We start from the raw sequence: 25,718 nt of genomic DNA, 5'->3' as shown, positions 1-25,718 counted from the left end.
AATTTTTTTTGTAGTTTTAGTAGAGACGGGGTTTCGCTGGTAACCCCATCCGGCCAGGCTGTTTTATTTATTTATTTTTTATTTTTTTTGAGCTAGAGTCTTGCCCTGTCACCCAGGCTGGGGTTCAGTGGCATGATCTCAGCTCACTGCAACCTCCACCTCCTGGGTTCAAGTGATCGTCCCACCTCAGCCTCCCAAGTAGCTGAGACTACGGGTGTGCACCACCATGCCCAGCTAATTTTTGTATTTGTAGTGGAGATGGGGTTTCACTATGTTGCTCAGGCAGGTTTTGAGCTCCTGACCTCAAGTGATCTGCCTGCCTCGGCCTCCCAGACTGCTGGGATTACAGGTGTGCACCATCATGCCCAGCTGAGTTTTAATTTTGTAAGGTGAAAAGTTCTGTAGACCACATGGCTTCTTTCACTTCAAAGAATGTCCATAGAGCTCATCCACGTTATAACATGTGCCAGAATTTCTTTTGTTTTTAAGGCTGAAGACTATTCCATTGTATGTACATACCACATTTTGTTTATCCATTCATCTATGGATAGATAGCAAAAAAAAAAAAATCTGTATTGAAATAGAAGATGCTTATGGAAAAATGCACATTTTATTAGGCTGGTGCATTTTATTAGGTTTGCACCAACCTAATATAAGTATGCAGCTTGATAACTTTCCACAAGTGCTCATGAAACTAGAGCCCAGATCAAGAAACAAAACAGTACCAGCTCCTCACCTCACAGCCCCTTCCAATCAGGAGCCTTCAGTCTCCCTTCCAATCTCACCATCCCCAACCTTTACTCCAAGGGTCATCTCCCATGTGATCTCTAACAGCACGGATATTTTCCCTGTTTCTGTGCTTTATTTAGATGGAGTAATCATATAGTACGTACTGTTCTGCATCTGGCTGATTTTACCCTACTTGTTTTCCAGTTTCTTTAATGTCCCTGTCTGTTTGTAAGATGTAACTGTAGTATGTGTGTGCGTTCCCATCGCCATTATGGTACCTGTTGTATGAGTGTATCCTAGTTAACATATCCATCCTACTGTTGGTGAGAGTTTGGGTAGTTTCTAGTTTTGGGCTCTTAGCACTGCCGAACATTTTTCTTCATGGGTTTGTTGAATACAAGTGCATTCCTGTCATGGGATTACTCAGGAGTGGCACACATAGTGTTCACCTCTCATCGGTGCTGCCAAATAGTTTGCCAAAATGGTGGTACCCGTTTGCACCGCCATTGTGTGAGGGTTTTTTTTTTTTTTTTTTTTGAGGCGGAGTTTTGCTCTTGTTGCCTAGGCTAGAGTGCAATGGCATGATCTTGGCTCACTGCAATGTCTGCCTCCCGAGTTCAAGGGATTCTCCTGTCTCAGCCAAGTAGCTGCGATTACAGGCATGCATTACCGTGCTTGACTAATTTTTGTATTTTTAGTAGAGATGGAGTTTCACCACGTTAGCCAGGCTGACCTCAGATTCCTGACCTCAGGTGATCCACCTGCCTTGGCCTCGCAAAGTGCTGGGATTATAGGCATGAACCCTTGCACCCAGCCTATTTTTTTTTGTATTTTTAGTAGAGATGGGGTTTCATCATGTTGGCTAGGCTGGTCTTGAACTCCTGACCTCAGGTGATCTGCCCGCCTCAGCCTCCCACAGTGCTGGGATTACACATGTGAGCACTGTGCCCGGCCTGTGTGAGGGTTTTGATTGTTCCACCTGCTCCTCTGCTCCTCACCAACGCTCAGTAATTCCCAACTTGTAGACAGGCTACTTACTAAAGGTTTACAGTTGTAATTCACAGGGAAAGCTGAGTAAGAGACAACACAAGGGCCAAGACAAGCCAAGCACCACTTGAAAGAACGCTTCTGATTGGCTATGGGGTGGGTGGAAAGTTAACCAAAGACTTTCCCCGTGGTTCTTGGCCCATGGTATAAACTGAGTAGCTCACGAGCTCAGGAGTCGGCCAGTCTTTATTTGCGTGGCTCTTTTGGGCCTTATGGTTTCTTCTTGTCCCAGGAAACATCATCTTATTGTCTCTTGGAAACTGAAACATCTTGTTTTGATTTTCAGAGGCGGATCTTAGATGGAAGTCTTGGCTTTGCTGCAGGGGTAAGTAGCATGTAGTAGGAGAAATGGAAATTGAGGCATACTGATTCTGACATGTGTCTGCCAAGGGCTGTCTTCAGTCCCTCCCCTTGCGACCTAGATGCATCTCTGTGTTCCTCAGGCACTAACACCTCCCTCTTATCACCTGCCATATTTATTTCCCAGCTTATCAAATGCCCATTTCTCTTTAGACAGCAATCGAGGTTTATTTGACAGCTGCCTCAGGACTAGGGAAATAAGATCTTATTTGGTAAGGGCCTAGCACAGGCCTAGCCTAATACATAGTTGGCTCTAACTAAATATACTTTTTCCTCCCCTTCTCCCTTAAAAGATCTTTTTTATAGGCCTTTTTTTTTTTTTTTTTTTTTTTTTTGAGACAGAGCCTTACCCTGTCACCCAGGCTAGAGTACAGTGGCACAGTCATGGTTCACTGCAGCTTCAACTTCTCTGGACTCAGGTGATCCTCCCAACTCAGCCTCCCAAGTAGCTGGGACTACAGGCATGTGCCAACGTGCCTGGCTGATTTTTGAGTTTTTGCAGAGATGGGGTTTCACCATGTTGCCCAGGCTGGTCTTGAACTCCTGGGCTCAAGTGATCCACCTGCCTAGGCCTCCAAAAGTGCTGGGATTACAGGCGTGAGTTATGGAACCCAGCATATTATAGACATTGTTAAACATGTAAAAATTGTGGATAGAAGCCTGTAATGCATCCCAGACACCCATCTCCCAACTTCAATCATTATTGACATTTTGCTAATCTCAGTTCACCTGTCCTCCCCAAAACTTCTTGGGAGGTTAGAATATTTTATAAAAGCTAATCCCAGATGACATGTAATTCCACCTGTAAATTCAACACACATGTCTAACTGAATGACTTTTTAAAAATAAACATAATCACATGGCCATTATACCTACCAAATTAATAATTCCTTTTTATGATCTAACATCCAGTCCATATTCAGATTTTCTTCATCTTTCTAAAGGTGTCATCTAATATTGTTTTGTTATAATTGGGGTCCAAACAAGGTTTCTATATTGCATTTGCTTGTTATATCTTTTAAGTCTCTTTAATTTTTTAACAGTTCATTTTTTTTTTCATGCTAGTAATTTGTTGGAGAAACTGGGTCATTTGTCTCTAGAATGTTGGCTGATTACTTCCTCGTGGTGCTGCCTAACTTGTTCCTCAGTCCCCTGTATTTCCTGTAAGCTGAGAGTTAGACCTGGAGTCTTGATTAGTTCAGATTCCATTTTTCAGGCATGAAGATGTCATGGTGCTGTGTATTGCAGATGTATTACCCATATCAAAAGGCGTGTAATATGTGGGTTTCCCTTTTAGTTGATCAGGGTTTGGTTTCTTTCTTCAGTTTTTATAGCCCTGCGATCTGGAAAAACTAGCCTGGAGGTGGAGCCTGCCAGAGGCCATCTGAGTCAGTAGCTGTTAGACTGGAGCCACTGTTCCGTCAAAAACACTGTCCTTTCTGAGCCATACACAGGTGCACAGAGAGTGTTGAGAAAATTAGTTTCTAGGTCCTCAGCTTCCATACGTTCTCTTCCCTATAACTGCTGTGCCTGAGAATGCCGGGGAAGCCAGCCCTACTTTCTTTCCTTCCTTGGCACAGCTTCCCTTTCCCACCTTACACAAGAAAGATGCTCTTGCCTTATAACCTTGTCTCTGGGTGGCATGGTCTTCAGGCAGACATGGAGGGCCCCTTGGAATGTTGGTGCTGGCACGGAGAAAGTGAAGGGCCTTGTCTCTAATCACTGGGCATAAGTCCATTTTTTTTTTTTTTTTTTTTGAAATGGAGTCTCCCTCTGTTGTCCAGGCTGGAGTGCAGTGGCTGGATCTTGGCTCACTGCAACCTCCGCCTCCCGAGTTCAAACAATTCCCCTGCTGCAGGCTCCCGAGTAACTGGGATTACAGGTGTGCACCACCACGCCTGGCTAATTTTTTTTTTGTGGTTTTAGTAGAGATGGGGTTTTGCCGTGTTGGCCAGGCTGGTCTCGAACTCCTGACCTCAGGTGGTCTACCCAACTCGGCCTTCCAAAGTGCTGGGATTACAGGTGTGAGCCACCATGCCCGGCCCACAATTCCTTTAGCAGTTCTGATGTGATCCTGTCCTTTGAAGGTGGATCTAATCAAATTGTCAACAGAGAGGTCCTTGAAAGTAATTTTCCATGATGGAGGGATTTTGGATCTGTAACTTGAAAATAGTACAAAGAACAGAATGCCAGTATTATAACACAACATCTCTTTTTTTCCCCCATCCTCTCATTTATATGAACACATTTTCTCTTTCCTTATGTTATGAAAAAGAAAAAAACAAAACAAAAAAGAAAAAAATCAAATAAAAATAAAATTGATGAACTCTGTCTTATTCTAGTAATGACTACTTAATAACTATCCTCATATAGATGAATGAATTGAAAAAACAAGAATAAAGCCCCATTCACTAACATATACATTTCAAATAACATTTTGCTTTGTAATGTTTAATAATTATAAAATGGTTTCTTATATATTATTTATTCTTATGTATCTCTTTCCTATCACTAATAGTTATCATTATTAAATCCAAGAAATTGTTATGTAAGCATTTAGAGCCCTAGGCTCATAGGAAAATTTAAAAAATTAAATTAAAATGTATGTAGGTATTTATTTATTTTTGCCCTTTTTTTTTTTTTTTTCTTTTTTTTTAGTTTCAGTAGGTTTTGGGGGGAACAGGTGATGTTTGGTTAAAAGGATAAGTTCTTTAGCGGTAATTTCTGAGATTTTGGTGTACCCATCACCCAAGCAATGTACACTGTCCCCAATATGTAGTCTTTTATCGCTCACCCCTAGCCCCCCTACCCTTTCCACCAGATTCCCAGAGTCCATTGTATCATTCTTATGCCTAGCTTAGCTCCCGCTTATGAGTGAAGATGTGATGTTTGGTTTTCCATTCCTGAGTTACTTCACATAGAATAATGAATTCCATCCAGATTGCTGCGAGTACCATTATTTCATTCCTTTTTATGGGTGAGTAGTAGTCCATGATATATATATGTATATACCCACACACATATATGTATATATATATACATACATATATACATATATGTGTATATATATACATACATATATACATATATGTGTATATATATGTGTGTGTGTGTGTGTGTGTGTGTGTGTGTGTGTGTGTATGTATATATATATATATATATCACATTTTCTTTATCCACTCCTTGATTGGTGGGCATTTGGGCTGGTTCCATATTTTTGCAATTGTGAATTGTGTTGCTATAAACACGTGTGTGCAAGTATGTTTTTTGTGTAATGACTTCTTTTCCTCTGAGTAGATACCTAGTAGTGGGATTGCTGGATCCAATGGTAGATCTACTTTTAGTTCTTTAAAAGGAACTTCCACACTGTTTTCCACAGTGGTTGTGTTAGTTTACATTCCCACTGGCAGTGTAAAAGTGTTCCCTTTTCACCACATCCACACCAACAGCTATTATATTCTGATTTTTTCATTATGGTCATTCTTGCAGGAGTAAGGGGTGTTGCATTGTGGTTTTGATTTGCATTTCCCTGATCATTAGTGATGTTGAGCGTTTTTTCTTATGTTTGTTGGCCATTTGTATATCTTCATTTGAGAATTGTCCATTCATGTCCTTAGGCCACTTGTTGATGGGATTGTTTGTTTTTTTCTTGCTGATTTGTTTGAGTTCCTTGTAGATTCTGGATATTGGTCCTTTGTCAGATGTATAGGTTGCAAAGGTTTTCTCCCACTCTGTGGGTTGCCTGTTTGCTGATTATTTCTTTTGCTGTGAAGAAGCTTTTTATTATTTATTTATTTATTTATTTATTTATTTATTTTATTGTTTTTTGACATGGAGCCTCACTCTGTCGCCCAGGCTGGAGTGTGGTGGTGCGGTCTCAGCTCACTGCATCCTCTGTCACCAGGGTTCAAGCGATTCTCCTGCCTCAGCCTCCCAAGTAGCTGGGACTACAGGCGCCCACCACCATGCCTGGCTATTTTTTGTATTTTCAGTAGAGACGGAGTTTCACCATGTTGGCCAGGCTGGTCTTAAACGCTGGACCTCAAATTATCTGCCTGTCTCAGCCTCCCAGAGTGCTGGGACCACAGGTGTGAGCCACTGTGCCTGACCTACAGAAGCTTTTTAGTTTAAAAGTCTTATCTGTTTATCGTTGTTTTTGTTGCATTTGCTTTTGGGTTCTTGGTCATGAAATCTTTGCCTAAGTCAATGTCTAGAAGGGTTTTTCCAGTGTTATCTTCTAGAATTTTTATGGTTTCAGGTCTTACATTTAAGTCTTTGATCCATCTTAAGTTGATTTTTGTATAAGGTGAGAGATGAGGATCCAGTTTTGTTCTTCTATATGTGGCTTTCCAATGATCCCAGCACCATTTGTTGAATAGGACGTCCTTTCTCCACTTTGTTTTTGTTTGCTTTGTAGAAGATCAGTTGGCTGTAAGTATTTACCTTTATTTCTGGGTTCTCTATTCTATTCCATTGGTCTACATGTCTATTTTTATACCAGTACCATGCTGTTTTGGTGACTGTAGTCTTAAAGTATAGTTTCAAGTTGGGTAGTGTGATGCCTCCAGATTTGTTCTGTTTGCTTAGTCTTGCTTTGGCTATGTGGGCTCTTTTTTGGTTCCATACGAATTTTAGGATTATTTTTTCTAGTTCTGTGAAGAATGATGGTGGTGTTTTGATGGGAATTGCGTTGAATTTGTAGATTGCTTTTGGCAGTGTGGTCATTTTTACCATATTGATTCTACCCATCTGTGTGCATGGGAGGTGTTTCCATGTGTTTGTGTCATTTATGACTTCTTTTCAGCAGTCCTTGTAGAGGTCTTTCACCTCCTTGGTTAGGTGTATTCCTAAGTATTATTATTATTATTTTGCAGCTATTGTAAAAGGGGTTGAGTTTTTGCTTTGATTCTCAGCTTTATTGCTGTTGGTGTATAGCAGAGCTACTGATATGTATACATTAATCTTGTATCCTGAAACTTTGCTGAATTTATGTATCAGTTCTAGGAGGTTTTTGGATGAGTCTTCAGGGTTTTCTAGGTATACGATCATATCGTCGGCAAACAGCGATGTTTGACTTCCTCTTTACTGATTTGGATGCCCTTTCTTTCTTTCTCTTGTCTGATTGCTGTGGCTGGGACTTCTAGTACTATGTTGAATAGAAGTGGTGAAAGTGGGTATCCTTGTCTTGTTCCATTTCCCAGGGGGAATGCTTTCAACTTTTCCCCTTTCAGTATAATGTTGGTTGTGGGTTTGTCCTGGATGACTTTTATTACCTTAAGGTATGTCTCTTCTATGCTGATTTTACTGAGGGTTTTAATCTAAAATGTATGCAGATATTTTTATGGCAGGGAAGCATGATAAAGAAATCAATAATATGGCTGGGTGCGGTGGCTTATGCCTGTAATCCCAGCACTTTGGGAGGCTGAGGTGGGTGGATCACCTAAGGTCAGAAGTTTGAGACCAGCGTGACCAACATGGTGAAACCCCGTCTCTGCTAAAAATACAAAGTTAGCTGGGCATGGTGTCACATGCCTCTAATCCCAGCTACTTGGGAAGCCGAGGCAGGAGAATTGCTTGAACCGGGGAGGCAGAGGTTGCAGTGAGCCAAGATTGCATGCACCCTTGCACTCCAGCCTGGGCAATAGAGTGAGACTTCATCAAAAACAAACAAACAAAATCAATAGATTTTCTAGTATAAATATAAGTTGCTTTAGGATATATTCTGTGGTGAAATAGAATTGAAATACAAGTCAAGCAGAAAAAGCAATGATGTAAATTTTTTGGCTTTTGAAAAAGAGTTTGCTTATGGTGCATTTGTGTGTGTGTGTGTGTAAAATGTAACATGCAAACAAAAGTGCATCAAACAAAGAAACATAGGCTTGTTTATGTATTCTGTTTTTAAGTGGATAATGATGGGAATAAAATCTCTATTCTATTTAGGACCTACTGGATTCACTTAAAAGACTGATGAGATAGGCCGGGCATGGTGGCTCACACCTGCTAATCCCAGCACTTTGGGAGGCTGAGGCAAGTGGATCACCTGAGGTCAGGAGCTGAACACCAGCCTGGCCAACATGGCGAAACCCCGTCTCTATTAAAAAAAAGACAAAAAACAAAAATTAGCCAGGCATGGTGGCGGGCACCTGTAATCCTAGCTACTTGGGAGGCTGAAACAGGAGAATCGCTTGAACCCGGAAGGTGGAGGTTGCAGTGAGCCGAGATTGCGCCATTGCACTCCAGCCTGGGCAACAGAGTGAGACCGTCTCAAAAAAAAAAACAACAAAAAACAAACAAACAAAAGACTAATGAAACAGTTTTATTTAAACAAATCTATCTACCTAGCTACCTACCTACCTCCTTACTTACCTACCTACCTATCTATCTATATCTGATCTATCTGTCTGCATATTTACATGCCTAAAATGATATCTTCTGCAACTATTTAAACTGGAGACAAAAATGTTTTAAATGTCAACTTACAAATGAGTGATGGGGCACCTAGTTTTTCAAAGTTCTTTTTTTTTTTTTTTTTCCTGAGACGGAGTCTTGCTCTGTCACCTAGGCTGGACTGCAAAGGTGTGGTCTTGGCTCACTACAACCTCCGCCTCCCGGGTTCATGCCATTCTCCTGCCTCAGCCTCCCGAGTAGCTGGGACTACAGGTGCACGCCACCACACCCGGCTAATTTTTTGTATTTTTAGTAGAGACGGGGTTTCACCATGTTAGCCAGGATGGTCTCGATCTCCTGACCTTGTGATCCACCCACCTCAGCCTCCCAAAGTGCTGGGATTACAGGCGTGAGCCACTGTGCCCTAGGTTACTCTTTTAGATCAGAAGCTATTGTAAGATTCACATAGCAAAAGACAAAAACCAAAATAAAACAAGAAAGGAAACAAACCAACAAAACCAGATAGAGTGTAAGAAGTTTTCAGGACATGAAGAATGAATTTGGGAGCATGAAAACATGAACATTTAAGATGTAATTTCCTTAAAAAAAATCACAAGGCCAGTGTGTTATCACGAATGAGGAGCTCAGATAGTTGTACTTCTGACTTTTAAAGTAGTCGGTAGAAAGAAAGAGACTCTAAAGATTATGTGTGTGTATTTATCAGAAAGAAATGATTTACTTTTCTAAAATTGTCCTTGAGCCAGATGCGATATCTCACACCTATAATCCCAGCACTTTGGGAGGCGGAGGCAGGCGGATCACTTGAGCTCAGGAGTTTGAGACCAGTCTGGACAACATGGAGAAACCCTGTCTCTGTCAAAAAACAAAAGAAAACCAAAAATTAGCCAGGCATGGTGGCATGCGCCTGTAATCTCAGCTAGTTGAGAGGCTAAGGCAGGAGAATTGCTCGAGCCTGGGAGGCAGAGGCTGCAGTGAGCCAAGATCGTGCCATTGCACTCCAGCCTGGGCAATAGGAGTGAAACCCACTCCCAAAACAACAATAACAAACATTGTTCTTGAATATGAGGTAGTTGCACAAAGAAACTCCTGGTGGGTCCCCAGATGCATAGGGAATGTCAGAACATCATATGGGAGACAGTTGGGACTCAAACCCAGGGGATTTTAACAACTCAAAGTGGATTCTCATACATGTTTCCCTGAACTAGGGAAAGGCAGTATGGCCCAGGTGGCCTGGGCAGTCACAGTGGCTTGTGCTTATATCATGGAATAAATTACATTTAATAAGGCCAACACATTGGCTGGGGCAGTAACTCTTAACCGAGGGCAATGTTGCCCTCCAGGTGGCATTTAGCACATTTGCCACGTGGGTATCTAGTGGGTAGAGGCCAGGGATGCTACTTAACATCCTGCAACACACAGGGCACGAGGCATCACAACTACAAAGGACTCTCCAGCCCCAAGTGCCAGTCATGCCAAGGCTGAGAAACCCGGGTCTAGAGAATTTGTTGTATCAGCCAGAGAGTAGAATGTGGAAAAATTCAGATGTAAAAAAAAAAAAAAAAGAAAAAAAGAAAGTCCCCTTGCCTCTTCCCCTTACTTCTCCTAGGTCACTACTGTCAATCCTGAGTCTGTATCCTTGGAGAAATTGTATTAGGCACACGTAGTGAGTGTCAGGTCAGTGAAATGTGCCATCCTGTGTGGTATCGTAAAGGCTTTGCTCCCTCAGCCCAGTTCTGAGATGCTTTGAATATATGTCTTGAAAAAGACAAAACTGGCTATAAGATAGTTGACCGGGGTCCCATTGTACCTTGCACAGATGTCTACACAGCACTGTAGCATGCTGTTACAGTTGGTTTGTATACATTTATGTATTTGTTGTGCGTACATTGCAATACATCTGTAATATAATGCTGCAGTGACATATTTATACAATATATAATTGTTCACCAAAATAGGTGTTTCTGTAAGAGATTCCAGGGACAGAGGACATGTGTATTTTAAATATGCTTAGCAAAAATATATTTCGCAAGTTGTTTTTTCTCATTAGCAGGGCCCTGGAAGTGTTAATCATTTTTTCTTAATGTCTCATTTTGGAATTTATTTGCCTATTTTTCTCCTGACTCCTTAAATTACTCTCCAAGTCTCTAGTAATCATTGTCTTTCTCTCATCAGCACTTGTGTCTAGCCTTGACTTTTTTTTTTTTTGCCTGAGGCATGAACTTAATAGGAGAGTGGTTACCATTAAAAAAAGTCATTATTCCCTCTCAGGATCCTAGAGTAATATAACTTAAAGGGTGGAAAAGATTTTAGGTGATTAGAATACCTAATATTTATTGAGTCCTTACTGTGTACAAGGTGTTCTGCCAAACACTCTACCTAGATCAACTAATTTAATTTTATAAGAATGACTCTTTGAGGTATATACCAGTTACTATTATTCCTCCCCACTTTACAGGGACAGTGAGTTTAAATAAATTCAGTATCACATGGTGAGCAGATCTGGGATTTTTTTGAGATAGAGTCTCACTCTGTCACCCAGGCTAGAGTACAGTGGCGTGATGTCAGCTGACTGCAACCTCTGCCTCCAGGGCTCAAGTGATTCTCCTGCCTCAGCCTCCCTAGTAGCTGTGATTACAGGCACCCACCACCACGCCTAGCTAATGTTTGTATTTTTAGTAGAGATGGAGTTTCGCCATGTTGGCCAGGCTGGTCTCAAACTCCTTACCTCAGGTGATCCACCCACCTTGGCCTCCCAAAGTGCTGAGATTATAGGCGTGAGCCACTGCGCCCGGCCTCATATCCAGGATTTGAACCCATAGTCTGACTGTAGAATTTACACTCTTATACCACAATGCCTCTGAGCTGATGTCTGGTCCAGCTGCCTTTGTTTACAGACAAGAAACAAGTCTGGGGAGAGTAAATGTCTTATTTAGAATTGAAAATTGCTAGATAATGGCGGAGGTAGGATGAAACCCAGATAAGATGTCAGGGGCTGCCAGTATTTGGCAGAGTGACCTCGGGCAAGCTCATTGGTCTTCCTGGGCCTCAGTTGACTCTGCTGAGAAATGAGGACGTTGGAACGGATGGTTCATTAAGAGCTTCTTGTTTCTGCATGTTTAAAGGGACAAGTTGCAGCACAGGTTGGCAAACATCTTTTCATTGTAATTGTGAAGTGTTTCAGTTGGATTTTAGTTCACCTGCTTAGGGATATGATTCAGTGGTAAAATTAAGCATGCAGTTGAATATCCTTTTCATGTGAGTGAGAAGGCAGTCATTGTCCCAAAAGACATCTGGATGAATTTGGAGTGGCTGAAACATCGGGGATCACCATTTTAATTTTATTTGCTGTGGGTCTGCTGTGTCTCTTTGGCAAGTCTTGAACCAACTAGGAATCTCTGTATCAGTGCATATTCTATCAAGGAAGAAGCACTTATAAGGAATAATAGGATCATGAAGCTGCAGAAGAGAAAGACAGTCTTACCAATCAAGAAACTTACTTCTAGGCGTGAAAAGGCAATTTAATATCTATTATTTCATCCCTTAGGGAGCTGGTTTCTTATGAAAGACATGATTTTATTAAGGAGGTTTTGGCTAAGTCTGCTTTTGTGCAGCAAGTGGTGCATAATGTTTTTTCCAAATAACTGGCTCACTGTTGGAAGTTAATGATGCTCTCCAGTGATGGCTTGAGTCTGGAGGAATGATAGTGACCAGCTGTTCTCTATTTCCAAAGAGAGCTGGATGGAAAGAAATGGACTTAAATTGTAGCATGGCTGGGTACGGTGGCTCACACCTGTAATCCCGGCACTTTGGGAAGCCGAGGTGGGTGGATCACGAGGCCAGGAGTTCGAGACCAGCCTGGCCAACATGGTGAAACCCTGTCTCTACTAAAAATACAAAAAATTAGCCGGGCGTGGTGGTGGGCGCATTTAATCCCAGCTACTCGGGAGGCTGAGGCAGGAGAATTGCTTGAACCCAGGAGGCGGAAGTTGCAGTGAGCCAAGATTGCACCACTGCACTCCAGCCTGGGTGACAGAGCAAGACTCTGTCTTGGGGCGGGGGGTGGGGGGAATAATTGTAGCATGAAGTCAGGGATATTTCAGGAGGGCCCCTGGAAAGGTTTATTCTAGAGTAAATATGATTGAGGGAAAGTCCAGGGGAGGGAGCAGTCATTGAATTCAGGGTCTTTGGAAATCCTAGCTTTTAGATCCTGGATTGAGAAATTAATAATTTCTCAATTATTAATATTTCTCAATAATTAAATCCTCTATAGATCCTGGATTGAGAAATTAATAATTGCTGCTACCTTTTTTTTTTTTTCCATCTTACTGCCTGAGAGGTAGGGAAGCCTGATATGTTTTCTTGGAGATATTTTATGGAATTGGAATGTGAGGGGTGTTGGACCACACTGAGATGGGCTGGGCCACAACCAAAGCACCACAAGACCATATGCAAGGAATAGGCTCATGGACTCTGAGGAGGCTCCTGCAAAGATCATTGCTGTCACTCTGAGCTATGGTTTTTCTCTTTAGGAGGCTGGGAGAAATGAAAGACCCTGAGATGACCTCCCTGGGATGGTGACCTCCCAGGGATAAAGGAGAGAGCCAGAGAGTGCTTGGACCAAGAGCAGATCCGTCCCCAGCATCACTCAGGCCTGACTTCCTAGGCCTGACCTTGGAAGTTTTGGGACAGTTGTCTACGGTGAAGCTCCTCTCTTAAATTTGCTTTTTAAGGATTTAGGGAGTTGGGGAGCCCCAGGGCCTCCAAGGTTCTATTCTTTGCAGGTTTGCTTGTTCTGCACTGGTACGCAATAACAAGGGAGGTGCCTTTTGTCTATCTTAGGGCTACGGCTGCCTTCTGGGTGGGCACTCAACAAAGAGGTGAGACAGTGTAACAGGGTTGGTTTGGTAGGACCTTGAGCTACCTGCCCCAGATGCCCCATTTGACAAGCCCAGTGTGGCCTGGTGCCTGAAGAGGACATGGGGGAGGGTCCCTCTCTAACCATTATTCACAGCGTGGTTGCCGGGTCCATGGCACAGGTGCTATGGGGCACCCACTGCCTTCTGACGTGTTGCTTCCTGCATAGCAATGCTACAAGACACTGGCACTCCACACTCTCATAATTGGGGTATTGGGACCCTTAGAGTTTATGTGATGAGGAGTTGGCATTTTATTTTATTTTATTTTTGGGGTGGAGTCCCACTCCGTCACCCAGGCTGGAGTGCAGTGGCACAATCTTGGCTCACTGCAGCCTCCACCTCCTGGGTTCAAGAAATTCTTGTGCCTTGGCCTCCCGAGTAGCTGGGCTTACAGACGCCTGCCACCACGTCCAGCTAATTTTTGTATTTTTAGTAGAGATGGAGTTTCACCATGTTGGCCAGGCTGGTCTTGAACTCCTGACCACAAGTGATCCACCCACCTTGGCCTCCCAAAGTGCTGGGATTACAGGCGTGGGCCACTGCGCCCAGCCAGCATTTTATTTTTAAAGACCTCAGATGGTCAGTTTCCAACAAGAAAACCGCTGTGCATTGGCAAAGGTGAACATTCTCAAACCACATGAGGCACGGACAGGAGACCGTGAACATATTTTGGGAGACAAGCCTGACTGTTGGCCTGGCACTCCCAGCCCCCAAACACTAGTGGTTTTTGTGGGCTTGAGGCTCCCTGACTCCCGATTCCTCTGGGAGGAAGACAAAGTCTTGCTTCAAGAAGAGGGGGTGGCACAAAGTGGGGAAGGAAGGAAGAAGAAAGGGTAGCAAAACACTCAGGAAGGAGACGGATGATGATGATTATTTTTGTATTTTTTCTTTTCGGTTTCATGCTTCAGATTTCCAATGTCATTATCCACAGTGTGGGGGAGGAAGTGATACACATCACCTTCTCTGTGCCGTGATGGGAAGTAACAGCCTTTGTCTTGACGCATGAGCCCACGTGTATGCTGTTGCTCTGTTGAGCATCTGGGGTGGTGTGGCTCTGAGGCCTGCCCAGAGCCCTGCAAACAGTCCCTGTCTGTCCCCATCCCTTTCCCCCTTCCTCCCCACGTTCATACTCTGACTGCGTGAGTGAGTATCTGGCGCCCCTGCCTCCCCTCCTACCCTTCTGTGTTTCCCTGCAGGCCTGGGCCTCTGTATTGATAGGGCCACAGCATTCCCCCGGGAAGATCTTCCTCTTTGTTTGGGGGCATCCTTCCCTGTTCCTATGAAGGAGAGGGCGGGAATGAGTATATGTGATTGATGGGCAGAAGGTTAATAAGGGCCTAGAGATTCAGTTTAAATAGTCAGGGGTAAGTGCTCTGAAGTTGCAGTGACTCTTATTAGTTGCTCTATAGGAAAAGGTAGATGTTTAATAGATATTCCTTTAGGGTAGTCGGCTCATTTTTTATTCATTCGTTCTTTCGTTTGTTTAGCATTTATTGAGAACTTGCTCTATTGCAGTCACTGTGCCGAGTGCCAGGGGTTTGAAGAAGTGATGGGAGATGGCCTGTGTGTGTAAGGAAGTTGTGTTTTAGCGGAGAGGTGGGCAAAGTACATGGGTGCCTTAAATTCGGCCTGCTGCCTGTTTTTGTAAATAAAGATTTGTTGGAACACAGCCATTCCTATTTGCAGAAATATTGCATGTGATTGCTTTTGGACTACAGTGGCAGAGTTGAATAGCTTCAACAGGACTCTGTGGCCCCAAAGCCTAAAATATTTACTATCTGGCCCTGTAGAGAAGAAGTCTGCTGGCCCCTGATGCAATGTTTATGACACGGTTTTCTGAGGTCTGGTGACAGTGGACTGCTTGAGCAAGAACCATCGGGACCACTGTGCTGGAGGAATGCTCTCTGGAATGTCCAGTGTTCCCAACTGGCTGATTTCCAGGGGATCACCACATCACCACTTTGTGGTGGACCCTCCCAAACAGGGCTTGCTCTTCATTTAGGAGCTCTGTGCTGCAGCAGCTCTTCCTTTGCTCAACTTTTGCCTTTGAAGAATCTTCAGGGGCTGGCTTTGCAAGTGAAGTGTGATGAGTTATCTGGGCCCTTTTGCTCCATTCTTCTTGTCACAAAGGAAACAGGTTTCAAGACAGATGGCCAAGCCAAAAGTGTGCAATTTGAGATTGTGAGGGAAAGCTAGCTCAAGCAGCACTCAAATTTGTAACAGTCGCTAGCATCTGTAGTCTAGCAGAGTAAGCTAACTTGGCCTCATGTCCTTGATGGTTCACTTCCAAAGAGTTCTCTGGCTTTGGGGAAGTTCTCTTCATTCTGTTGCATTGTTTCTCCACCCTGGCTGCACATTAGAATCACCTAGAGAGCTTTAAAAAACCCCAATGCCTTGAACATACCCTGGATTAACTACCCCAGAATCTCTGAGGTTGGGGGGTGGAGGGACCCTAGGATAAGGCACCAGTAATTTTTAGAGCTCCCTAGGTGTATTAGTTCATTTTCATGCTGCTGATAAAGACATACGGGAGACTGGGCAATTTACAAAAGAGATGTAATGGACTCACAATTCCACGTGCCTGGAGGGGCCTCACAATCATGGCAGAAAGTGAAAGGCATGTCTGACATGGCGGCAGACAAGAGAAGAGAGCTTGTGCAGGGAAACTCTCCTTTATAAAACCATCAGATCTCATGAGACTTACTATCATGAGAAGAGCATGGGAAAGGCCCGCCCTCATGATTTAATTACCTCCCACCGGGTCCCTCCCACAACATGTGGGAATTGTGGAAGCTACAATTGAAGATAAGGTTTGGGTGGGGACACAGCCAAACCATATCACCAGGTGACTGTGATGTGCAGCCAAAGCCGGGAACCCCTGTTCTAATCGGGATCATGGTTTAATGAAGGATGAGCTGGTGTTTGGAAAAAGCAGACTCCCTTCAAAGGCTCCATGTAACTTTGAGGCTAAGAATTCAACTGAGTTAATGCTTAGGGTTCAGGTCACAGTCAGAAGAGCTCTGGACATAAAGAATGGGGCCCTGGAGCTTGGATGAGGGAAGCCTGGGAGGAGGCTGTCACCTCTGGTGTCTAGCTGCAGCCCTGTCTATGGAAGGCTCATACTTGACATTAGTGTTGGTTCTCAAGACTGCTGATCTTGTTACCAGCCTGGGTTGGGGGCATTTGTCATACTTTCAGGTTCATTTTCCAGTCGGTCATGGGATACTGGTCAGCCTGCAGCTGGGAACTCGGGCCTGTCCTCTGGGCCTGGCTCCTTGGCTCTCATAAAAGAAAGAGGGCAGGCAGGATCTTTCCTGCTTGGAAAGTTTGAGCTTGAGTTTGAATTCTCTCTTGATGCACAGTGCCTGTTGGATCACATACTATGTCTGAAAAATCTCAGGCTGGCAGAGACTTGTGGGAGTCATCTCAGGCAGCCCTCTGCCATCAGACGGGCCAATACTTCATTGAATCCAGACAGATGGTAGGAGTAGAGATTGTTCCCAAAGATATTTGTGAAGCAAGACTTTATACTTTTTTTTTGTAACCTAATTGAGTGTTTAGCTAGCTTGTTAGAAACTTATCTGATCTAAATGTCTTCTGCTGCAATTTAAATAATAGGGAGTAGCTGACATCATTTTTCTTATGCATCTTAGTACCAACCACATGAAAAAGCACTTACTGAGTATCAATTCTTTTGAAAGATACCCTGAGTGCAAAGGATCAAAGTTAATATTGGTTAAGTTTTGTCCTTTAGCCCTTGCATGTCAAGACCAAATCCATACACAGATTATTAACACAAGTGCTTTGTGGAGAGGCTGCGGTTGGATTGCATATTATTGCTTTTTAGCAGTGGCTTGCTCATAAAAGGGGAGAAGAGCCAGTAATCAAAGCTTTGTCAAGGGCCTGTGTAATTTTAGAGTTGGCCCAAACGTGTTCTGTTTGCAGAATAACCATTTGTTTCTTTCTTTGGAGAACAGCTGCTCAGAATGTGGGAGCAGGGAGAGAATTGTCTTCAGGCCAAGCCCTCAACCATTTAGTGAGCACTTACTATGTGTAAGGCATTGTGGGAGAGCAGGCAAAGAAGCAAGATATAATCCCTCCCTGCAAGGAGCTCAAGGTCGGCTGGGGAGAGAAGTCACATTTGCCTGTCATTATGAGGCGGGTCAGCATGTGGTTGTTAAGAACGTAATGAACAAAAGGTGCTGGAAACTCAGTGACAGGGAGGTTACTTCTAGTTGGGGAATTAGGACTTCTTCATGGATGAGCTTGGGTGGGAGGGATAGGTTGAGTTTTGACAAGTAAGGATGGGAGTGGGGAAGACGGGGTAGGGGAAGGAAATGCGTTACAGGCAGAGGGAACAGAAAATTGGAAGCATAAGAGTGGAAAATACAGGGCTGTTGGCAACATAGTTATTCGTTTGGTTGGGAGGTGATGCCAGAGAGGTAGGTTGAGGCCCGTACGTGATCAACCTATAGTTCCTTAGAAAGGAGTTGTGCTCTGTTCTCTAGGTTGATGGGGAAGTTTCTGGAGACGTTTTTGAGAAGGGGACAGGATCAGAGCTGTGCTTTTAAGAAATACATTCTGTTGGTAGCAGATGGACTGGCCATGCGTGTGCACAGGGGGAGGCTGGCAGTTGAGAAACAGGATGGAGGTTCTTGCACTTAGGTGAAAGGTAATAATGAGGTTTTGACTTTGGACAGAGGCATAGGAGATAGGAAGTGTGAGAGACAGTCCTGCTGGAGAGTCTAGAGGACTTGGCAGTCCTTTGATTGTGAAAGTAGTCAAGCAAAGCTGTTCAAGCTTACAACAGGAACTGTGTGTCTGGGGCCAACTGCCCTGGGGCTGTTAAAGGGTTTGGCATCACCGTTCTGCCTTATGGACTGAGGGGGACTCTACCGGAAATGAGGAGGCCAGGGGTCTCTTAGGCTTACTTACATCAGGTCTGTCTTGTTTGAGTGAGTTTGTACTTTGGAATCTGCATGTGTTGGGGTGGTCTCCATGGCAACCAGACACCTACAGCTAGTTGTACTGGTGGTGATGTTTCCTGCTTCTCTGCTTTTGGTGATCCATATCTATGAGGATTAGATTTGACTGAGAATAATTGAGACCTGAAACATAGTGGCTAAAACAAGAAAGACCCCGGAGTCTCTCCAAGCAAGATGGTGGAGGAGCCGCAGTCCATGTTGCAGCTTCCTCCCTCAAGTGCTACTGGAGGGGAAGGACTTACGGAGGTCTCCCCAGAAACAACCACTCTGGAGCCCCCGTCTTCCACTGCAGTTTCTCCGGGAACAGAGGAACCTGCTGGCGACACCAAGAAAAAAATTGACATTTTGCTAAAGGCTGTGGGAGATACTCCTATTATGAAAACAAAGAAGTGGGCAGTAGAGCGAACATGAACCATCCAAGGACTCATTGACTTCATCAAAAAGTTTCTTAAACTTGTGGCCTCAGAACAGTTGTTTATTTATGTGAATCAGTCCTTTGCTCCTTCCCCAGACCAAGAAGTTGGAACTCTCTCTGAGTGTTTTGGCAGTGATGGTAAACTGGTTTTACATTACTGCAAGTCTCAGGCATGGGGATGAACCACAAAGAAAATCAACTTGCTACATTAAATGGATTTTCACAGAAGAGACAGCTCTGAAAAGTTGTGATGCTTGTGGCAAGAGACTTAACAGATGTGATCTATTCAGTACGTGTCTACTCTATGTTTATGCATAAGAAAACATCCATAGCATGAATGGACTCAAAAAAATGTGATTTGTATTAATACGCCAGTCATCATAAAAGATGGTCATTATAGTACCCCCATTGCTCCTGCTTGTTACTATTATTGCTGCAGATCTGCTTCCAAGGTTGAAAAGGAGACTAAGACTGTATAAGCGTCTTCATTGCCAGTTCTCAAAAAAAAGAAAAAACAAAAAACAAGAAAGACCCCTCTTCTGTAGAAGAAATCTAGAGACCATGGCTGGGAAAATAGGTTCATGGAGTCAGCAGGGATCTAGACTCCTTTTTGGCTCACTGCTTTGCCCAAGAGGGCAGCCTTTGTCTTTCTGACCCAAGGTAGTTGCTGGAGCTCAAGTCATCACATCTGCCTTCCATGCTACAAAGTGGCAGGAGGGAGGTAGATTCCCTGAAAGTCCTGCACAGCAGGTCCACTTACATTTCATTGGCCACAACTTATTCATATGACCTAAGGTAGCTGCAAGGAATGCTGCGACACATGTTCTTTTAGCTATGCAGCAGCTTGCCCAGCTAAATGTTGATATTCTATTACTGAAAGAGAGGGCAGACGGAAACTGGAGCAGGCACTCAGCACTCTTGTGGCCACACAGCCTAGTGCGGAGAGAACTTTTAGTCTTCATTCTGTTATTGATTTACCTTCTTGGTGTATATTTTGTATGTTGCTTTTAAAATGAGTTCTTTCTTTCTTTAGTTTCATTTGAAAGGAAGAAGTAATACATGAACTTGGTAAGAAATTCAAGTAGTACAAAGGATATACGATAAAAATAAGTCCCTTAGTCTCTTTGTATTAGCTAGGACTTTTGGGATCATGAATGATAGAAAACCTAACTCAATCTGGCATAAAGAAGAAATAAAATGTATTGGTCTATGCAATTAAAATATCCAGGAGTAGAACTGGTGTCTGGGCACTGCTAGACTCTGTGGATCAAAGGATGTCACCAGCACCTGGTTTTTCTCCATCTCCTGGTCCTGCTTTTCCCTGTGTGGCTCCACTTTCAGGCTGTTTCCCATGACAGGCCAGTTACTCCTGGCCCATGAAACTTGAGCAGGATGTGTGCTCATCCCTGAATACTAATGTATGTTGCCAGGGGATGTAGTGTATTAATGGCCAAGCCTGGGCCATGTGTCCTGTTCTCCCTCCTCCCACCATTAGAGTAAATAACAAAGATAATAAGGATGAATAATGGAGGGAAAAGTGATTCCTCAAAAGCAAATTAAGGTGTTTTTGCCAAGGAGGTGTAATGGATGTTGGGTAGTTAACAGACTGTAAATGTGGAGTATGGTTAGAAAACACCTCAAAACTTAGTAGCTTAAGACAACAATTTATTTCCCCTGGTTCTAGGTTGCTGGGCTCAGCTGGGTGCTTCTTCTGCTGGTCTTGCCTGGGGTCACTCATGAGGCCGCGGTCATTTGGCAGTTCCACTAGACTGGAGAGTATAAGGGCCTCACTCAGGTCTGGGGCCTTGGTGTTTGTTGCCTTTTGCCTGGGCCTCTCCATGTGGTTGCTCATGGTTCAGTAGTGTAGCCTAGGCTTCTTTACATGGCAGTGGAAGAGCTCCAAGAAGGTGAAGGTGGAAACCGGAGAGTCTGTTTCTCTAGTCTCTAGTTCTCAGTAGGCGGAGCTTACAAAATATCATGGCCATGCTTTGCTGTCTACCACCTCTCCTTTGGAGAGATGACACCTGTTCACAGTCCATCCTTCCAGAATCAGTATTCCTTTTTTGGTGCCAGGTGCCTTCATTGTGGCCATTCTCAGCTGTCACTTGATCCCGACACTGGGCTTCCCCTTTGTCTTGTTTTCTCCGTCCTGCCTCTGAGCCTCCCTTTGGGCACCAACTCCCATCCAGTGAGAAGAAATGCTGGCTTTCTAAGTGTCTATTCAGTTTACTAACTTAAACATTGGTGGAAAAAATTTGAAGCCCCAGTTAAGCCTAATGTGTTCTCTGTTTGTAAGCGGCAGAGAAGTAAAACCTTTGTGGGCCCAGATCAGTTGTAGGTGTTCTGGATCTGCTGAGAGGAAAGGATTTGAGCTAAACTCTCAGTCCAAGGGCTGTGTTATTCTGGAAGCAAGAATTAGCTGTTGGGTGAGGTGACATTCTATGGCTGACAGTAACTTAATATCTTCAGAATCTTTTTGCTCGGGGGAAGGATTCCTGACCTCCTGAGAACAGGTGTGTCCAGGCTGTGGAATTGGAAGAGGCAGGGAAGAGAGAACTTTTTTATATTCTAAGCTTCAGCATGACTTGATTTTGTTAACCTGCTCTTGTATTACCTTTATTGGTTTATTTTTATTTTATTTTTTGAGCTGGAGTCTCGCTCTGTTGCCCAGGCTGGAATGTAGTGGTGCGATCTCAGCTCACTGCAACCTCTGCCTCCCAGGTTCAAGCGATTCTCCTGCCTCAGCCTCCCGAGTAGCTGGGATCACAGGCGCCTGCCACCACGCCCAACTAATTTTTGTATTTTTAGTAGAGACGAGGTTTCACCATTTTGGCCAGGCTGGTCTCGAACTCCTGACCTCAAGTGATCTGCCAGCCTCAGCCTCCCAAAGTGCTGGGATTACAGACGTGAGCCACTGAGCCTGGCCTCTTTTTGTTTTTTTAAGGACCCAATAATAATTCTCTTCCACAATCAGGAATCAATCTCTTTCCCCCTTTGCTGGGGAGACTCTGTCTCATTTTATAAATTTAATTTATGGCTATAAAGACACTTTGACTGAGAGCAGGAGGGAGAAAGGGGAAGCCCTGTCTTGGTGTTCCTCAGGCAGGGGTATGGGGCAGAGTAGGGGGATACAGTGCCAAACTGTGTTTTTTCCCCTATCCCCCCTCTGCCAAGTATGGTGAGAAGAGAAGCACGGAGACCAGAGGAGCTGACATTATGGGCTGAGAATCCTTGCTCTCTGCTTTTCCCAGGGCCTGGAGAGGTTTGCTGGCTACAGGGTTGGATGCCGGATGGATCAAGGAGTTTTCTTGGCCTCATTCCACTTCCCTTCCCTGGTGGCTCCCACCCTAAGGAATATGACCTTAGGAGTCCCTGTGAGCACCTTTGCAATACTGCTGCTTTCCTTAGAGGGGGGACCTCCTCTCTGGGCAGCTGAGGCCAGGAAGCAGAACTCCATCCTACACAGTAATAAAGAGAGTGTTTCAGCACAGATGGGGAGTCTGGAGCCCTAGGTTGTATTTCTAGCTGAGCTGCTTAGAGTCCTCAGGATTAGCCACAAGTCCTTTAACCTCCAGGCATCTCAAGGCTCCACAGAGACTGAAATCCTTTCCCTCCCATTTTGTGCAAATGGTGGGAGGATAAATTCAGTCATGACTGTTTAATGCTTCTGTGCCCTCCGGAGAAAAGAAAGAACAAAATACCAGGGAGAGAAACTTTTTTAATAGCTTGTTGGTGGAAGCTGATCTTTGCTGCCACTGTGCCCTGGCTTCTAATCCCACATCTGACTTTGGCTCAGGGCCATGAGCCACAGTGCTTGGTTTCTGCAGACTCACTGAACAGCAAACCAAATGGAACCATCAGGCCCGATGGTGAGAATTGTGTGTCTGACACACAGATGAAGGGGAGGCTTCACACCGACCAGTGCGTAGGTTTTCTTTCTTTTTTTTATTTCCTTTTTTTTTTGCTGTAGCATTTCTTTGGAAACCTCTGTCAATTTCTGAGGCGCTGGTCTTCTTGTAGAGAAATCAACCAAGACAGCCCTGGAGCTAAATGAGTTAGTTCTCCAGGAGTGTGGAAAAATTAGATACCTGTTAAATGCATAAACAAGGGGAAACCAGATTAGTATTGTATTTAAGATGGAGGAAGGGACACACGGTCATTGCCTGTGCATAAACTTTAAACAGATTACAGACGTGAATTTGCTGAACACTTTGTAATTATGCATGAAGATTTCTGTGTGGGGGAGAGTATCCATGGGCTGATGGCAGCGAACACTTGCATCTTATGGGCTCAGGAGCCCCAAATATTATTATGTGACATTGGTTTATTGCTTTATACTTTTTGAAGCACTTTCTCATCCGTTACCTCATCTGACCCTTGCAATAATCTTGTGGCCATAGGTTTTATTTTTAATTTTAATTTTAATTTTTTTTTTGAGATGAGCCTTGCTCTGTTACCCAGGCTGGAGTGCAGTGACACGATCTCGGCTCATTGCAACCTCTGCCTCCCGGGTTCAAGTGATTCTCCTGCCTCAGCCTTTAGAGTAGCTGGGATTACAGGCACGCGCCACTGCACCTGGCCTTGAAAAGCTTCTTTTACCCTCTGAAAATACATTTTGACACAATTCGTTAAAGTCTTGCAGCATTTAATTATATTAGAGTTTATAAGAGTGAAAGATACATGAGGTTCTATTAGCAGCGTAGGCCTTCCAGTAATTATTTCATAAGGGGTCAATCTGTATATCCCAGTGAGAATGGATCTGATTGCCATTAGTGCTAACGGTAGTACCTTTGGCCAAGTCAATCCAATTGATTCAGTTACCTTCGTCAAATTCATTTTTAAAAATGCCTTTTGTCATTTTTATCTTTCCAAAAGACTGAGGGTGATAGAGACAATGCTAGTACCTTGTGCTTCTAACATTTTAACTCTTTTATAATTTGTCCAAATGGATTCCTGTGTCACTAGAGATTTTGACAGGGATGTCTCCTCAAGCAGGGGCCCCCAACCCCCAGCAGGCCCCCAAGACTTACTGGTCTGTGGCCTGTTAGGAACTGGGCCACACAGCAGGAGGTGAGTGGCGGGTGAGTGAGCAAAGCTTCATCTGTATTTGCAGCCACTCTCCATTGCTCTCATTACCTCCTGAACTCCTCCTGTCAGATCAGCAGCAGAATTAGATTCTCACAGGAGCACAACTCCTATGGTGAACTGCACGTGCAAGGGATCTAGGTTACGGTCTCCTTATGAGACTCTAACGCCTGATGATTTGAGGTGGAACAGTGTCATCCCAAAACCATCCCCCACCCCCAATCCGTGGAAAAACTGTCTTCCACGAAACCAGTCCCTGGTGCCAAAAAGGTTGGAGACCACTGCCATAAAGGAAATAAATTTTGTAATAACTTCCTTGCTACTGTCATAGCATTAGCTTTTCTACATGGAAAGTTTCTATCCAACCAGGAAACATGCAAACTGTTGCAAGACATACTGATATCCTATTGAAGGTGGCAATTTAATGAAATCCCTCTGTAGATGTTCAAATGGCCTATCAGGTAGCAGAAGTGTATCACCTAAAGTTTTTTTTTTTTTTTTTGAGACAAGCTCTGGCACTATCACCCAGGCTAGAGTGCAGTGGTGCAATCTTAGCTCACTGTAACCTCCTCTGCCTCCCAAGTGGAAGCCATCCTCCTACCTCTGCCTCCCAAGTAGCTGGGACTACAGGCATGCATCACTACACCCAATTTTTGTATTTTTTTTTATAGAGATGGGGTTTTGCTATGTTGCCCAGGGTGGTCTCGAACTTGTGAGCTCATGTGATCTGCCTGCCTAAGCCTCCCAAAGTGCTGGGATTACAGGTATGAACTACTGCGCCCGGCCTCATCTGAAGTTTTGATTGTCTTTCCAGGATTATGAGTTTGACAAACTAAGCACTCACTGGTTACAAACCATCCTAGTAATTCTAGAACAGTCGCCACACCATTATTTTTCCATAATTTGTTTCATTTTGTCTGTGGTATGAAGAGTCATGGAACAGAGGATTTTTTTTGTTTTGTTTTGAGGCAGGGTTTCAGTCTGTCACCCAGGCTGGAGTGCAGTGACGTGATCACACGAGGTCACTGCAGCATTGACCTCTTGGTCTCAAGTGATCCTCCCACCTTAGCCCCCTGAGTAGCTGGGACCACAGGCTTGGGCCACTACACCCGGCTAATTTTCGTGTTTTTTTGTAGAGATGGGGTTTCACCATGTTGCCTAGGCTAGTCTTGAACTCCTGAGCAGAAGCAATTCACTCGCCTTGGCCTCCCAAAGTGCTGAGATTGTAGGCATGAGCCACTTGCCCAGCCTGCACAGAACTTTTAATAATGGAAGCTTTAAGGACTCAGAAAAGACCAAGTAGTTGTCTAAGCCCTCTATGAGTCTACGCTTAATGTTGAATTTACATCCTTTCAAGTACAAGTTTTATTTCTCCAATTAAGATGCATAACCCTGTCCAATGAATAGGTCATCATAGGTGATTTGACTTGGATAAATCTTAGGGAGTTCATTCAGCTTCTATATCTTAACAATTTCACAATCAACTGACTTAGCATGAAAATCTGACTTAGCATTTAAGTAATTCTTGTTCTTTTGATGGTGGGTTAACAGTTTTATGAACCAGTGAGTTTCTTCATACGAGTTCTGAGAATTTTTTTTTCCTTGAGACAGAGTCTTGCCCTGTTGCCCAAGCTGGAGTGCAGTGGTGCAATCTCAGCTCACTGCAACCTCTGCCTTCTGGGTTGAAACGGTTCTCTGGCCTCAGTCTCCTGAGTAGCTGGGACTACAGGTACCTGCTACCACTCCCGGCTAATTTTTGTATTTTCAGTAGAG

General features: G+C 43.9%; 1 protein-coding gene and 1 pseudogene across 35 annotated transcripts in view, besides 1 other annotated feature; both read left to right on the top strand.

The window, feature by feature from the left end:
* The window catches only part of SLC39A11 (solute carrier family 39 member 11), a 446,740-nt gene that overhangs the window by 5,780 nt on the left and 415,242 nt on the right, over positions 1-25,718 (top strand). For 34 of the 35 annotated variants that reach the window (XM_017024335.2, NM_139177.4, XM_006721757.3 and 31 more), the window contains one exon: positions 2,063-2,101. In XM_017024335.2, the coding sequence (XP_016879824.1) occupies positions 2,063-2,101 (39 nt within the window). Of the gene's footprint in view, positions 1-2,062; positions 2,102-13,073; positions 13,243-25,718 lie in introns of those variants that run through there. The other variant, XM_017024333.2, reaches the window with a different exon arrangement.
* Positions 18,245-18,539: an enhancer, noted in NCBI's record as "tiled region #7306; HepG2 Activating DNase unmatched - State 1:Tss". NCBI's record gives its function as "activates a minimal TATA promoter and a strong SV40 promoter by Sharpr-MPRA in HepG2 cells {active_cell/tissue: HepG2}" and the evidence as "EXISTENCE:reporter gene assay evidence [ECO:0000049][PMID:27701403]".
* ATG12P1 (autophagy related 12 pseudogene 1) lies at positions 18,608-19,364 on the top strand (annotated as a pseudogene).

Source organism: Homo sapiens, chromosome 17 (genome assembly GCF_000001405.40).
Source record: "Homo sapiens chromosome 17, GRCh38.p14 Primary Assembly".
Taxonomy (NCBI): domain Eukaryota; kingdom Metazoa; phylum Chordata; class Mammalia; order Primates; family Hominidae; genus Homo; species Homo sapiens.
The sequence above is the reverse complement of the archived record's forward strand: the minus strand, read 5'-3'. Positions and strand labels throughout refer to the sequence as shown.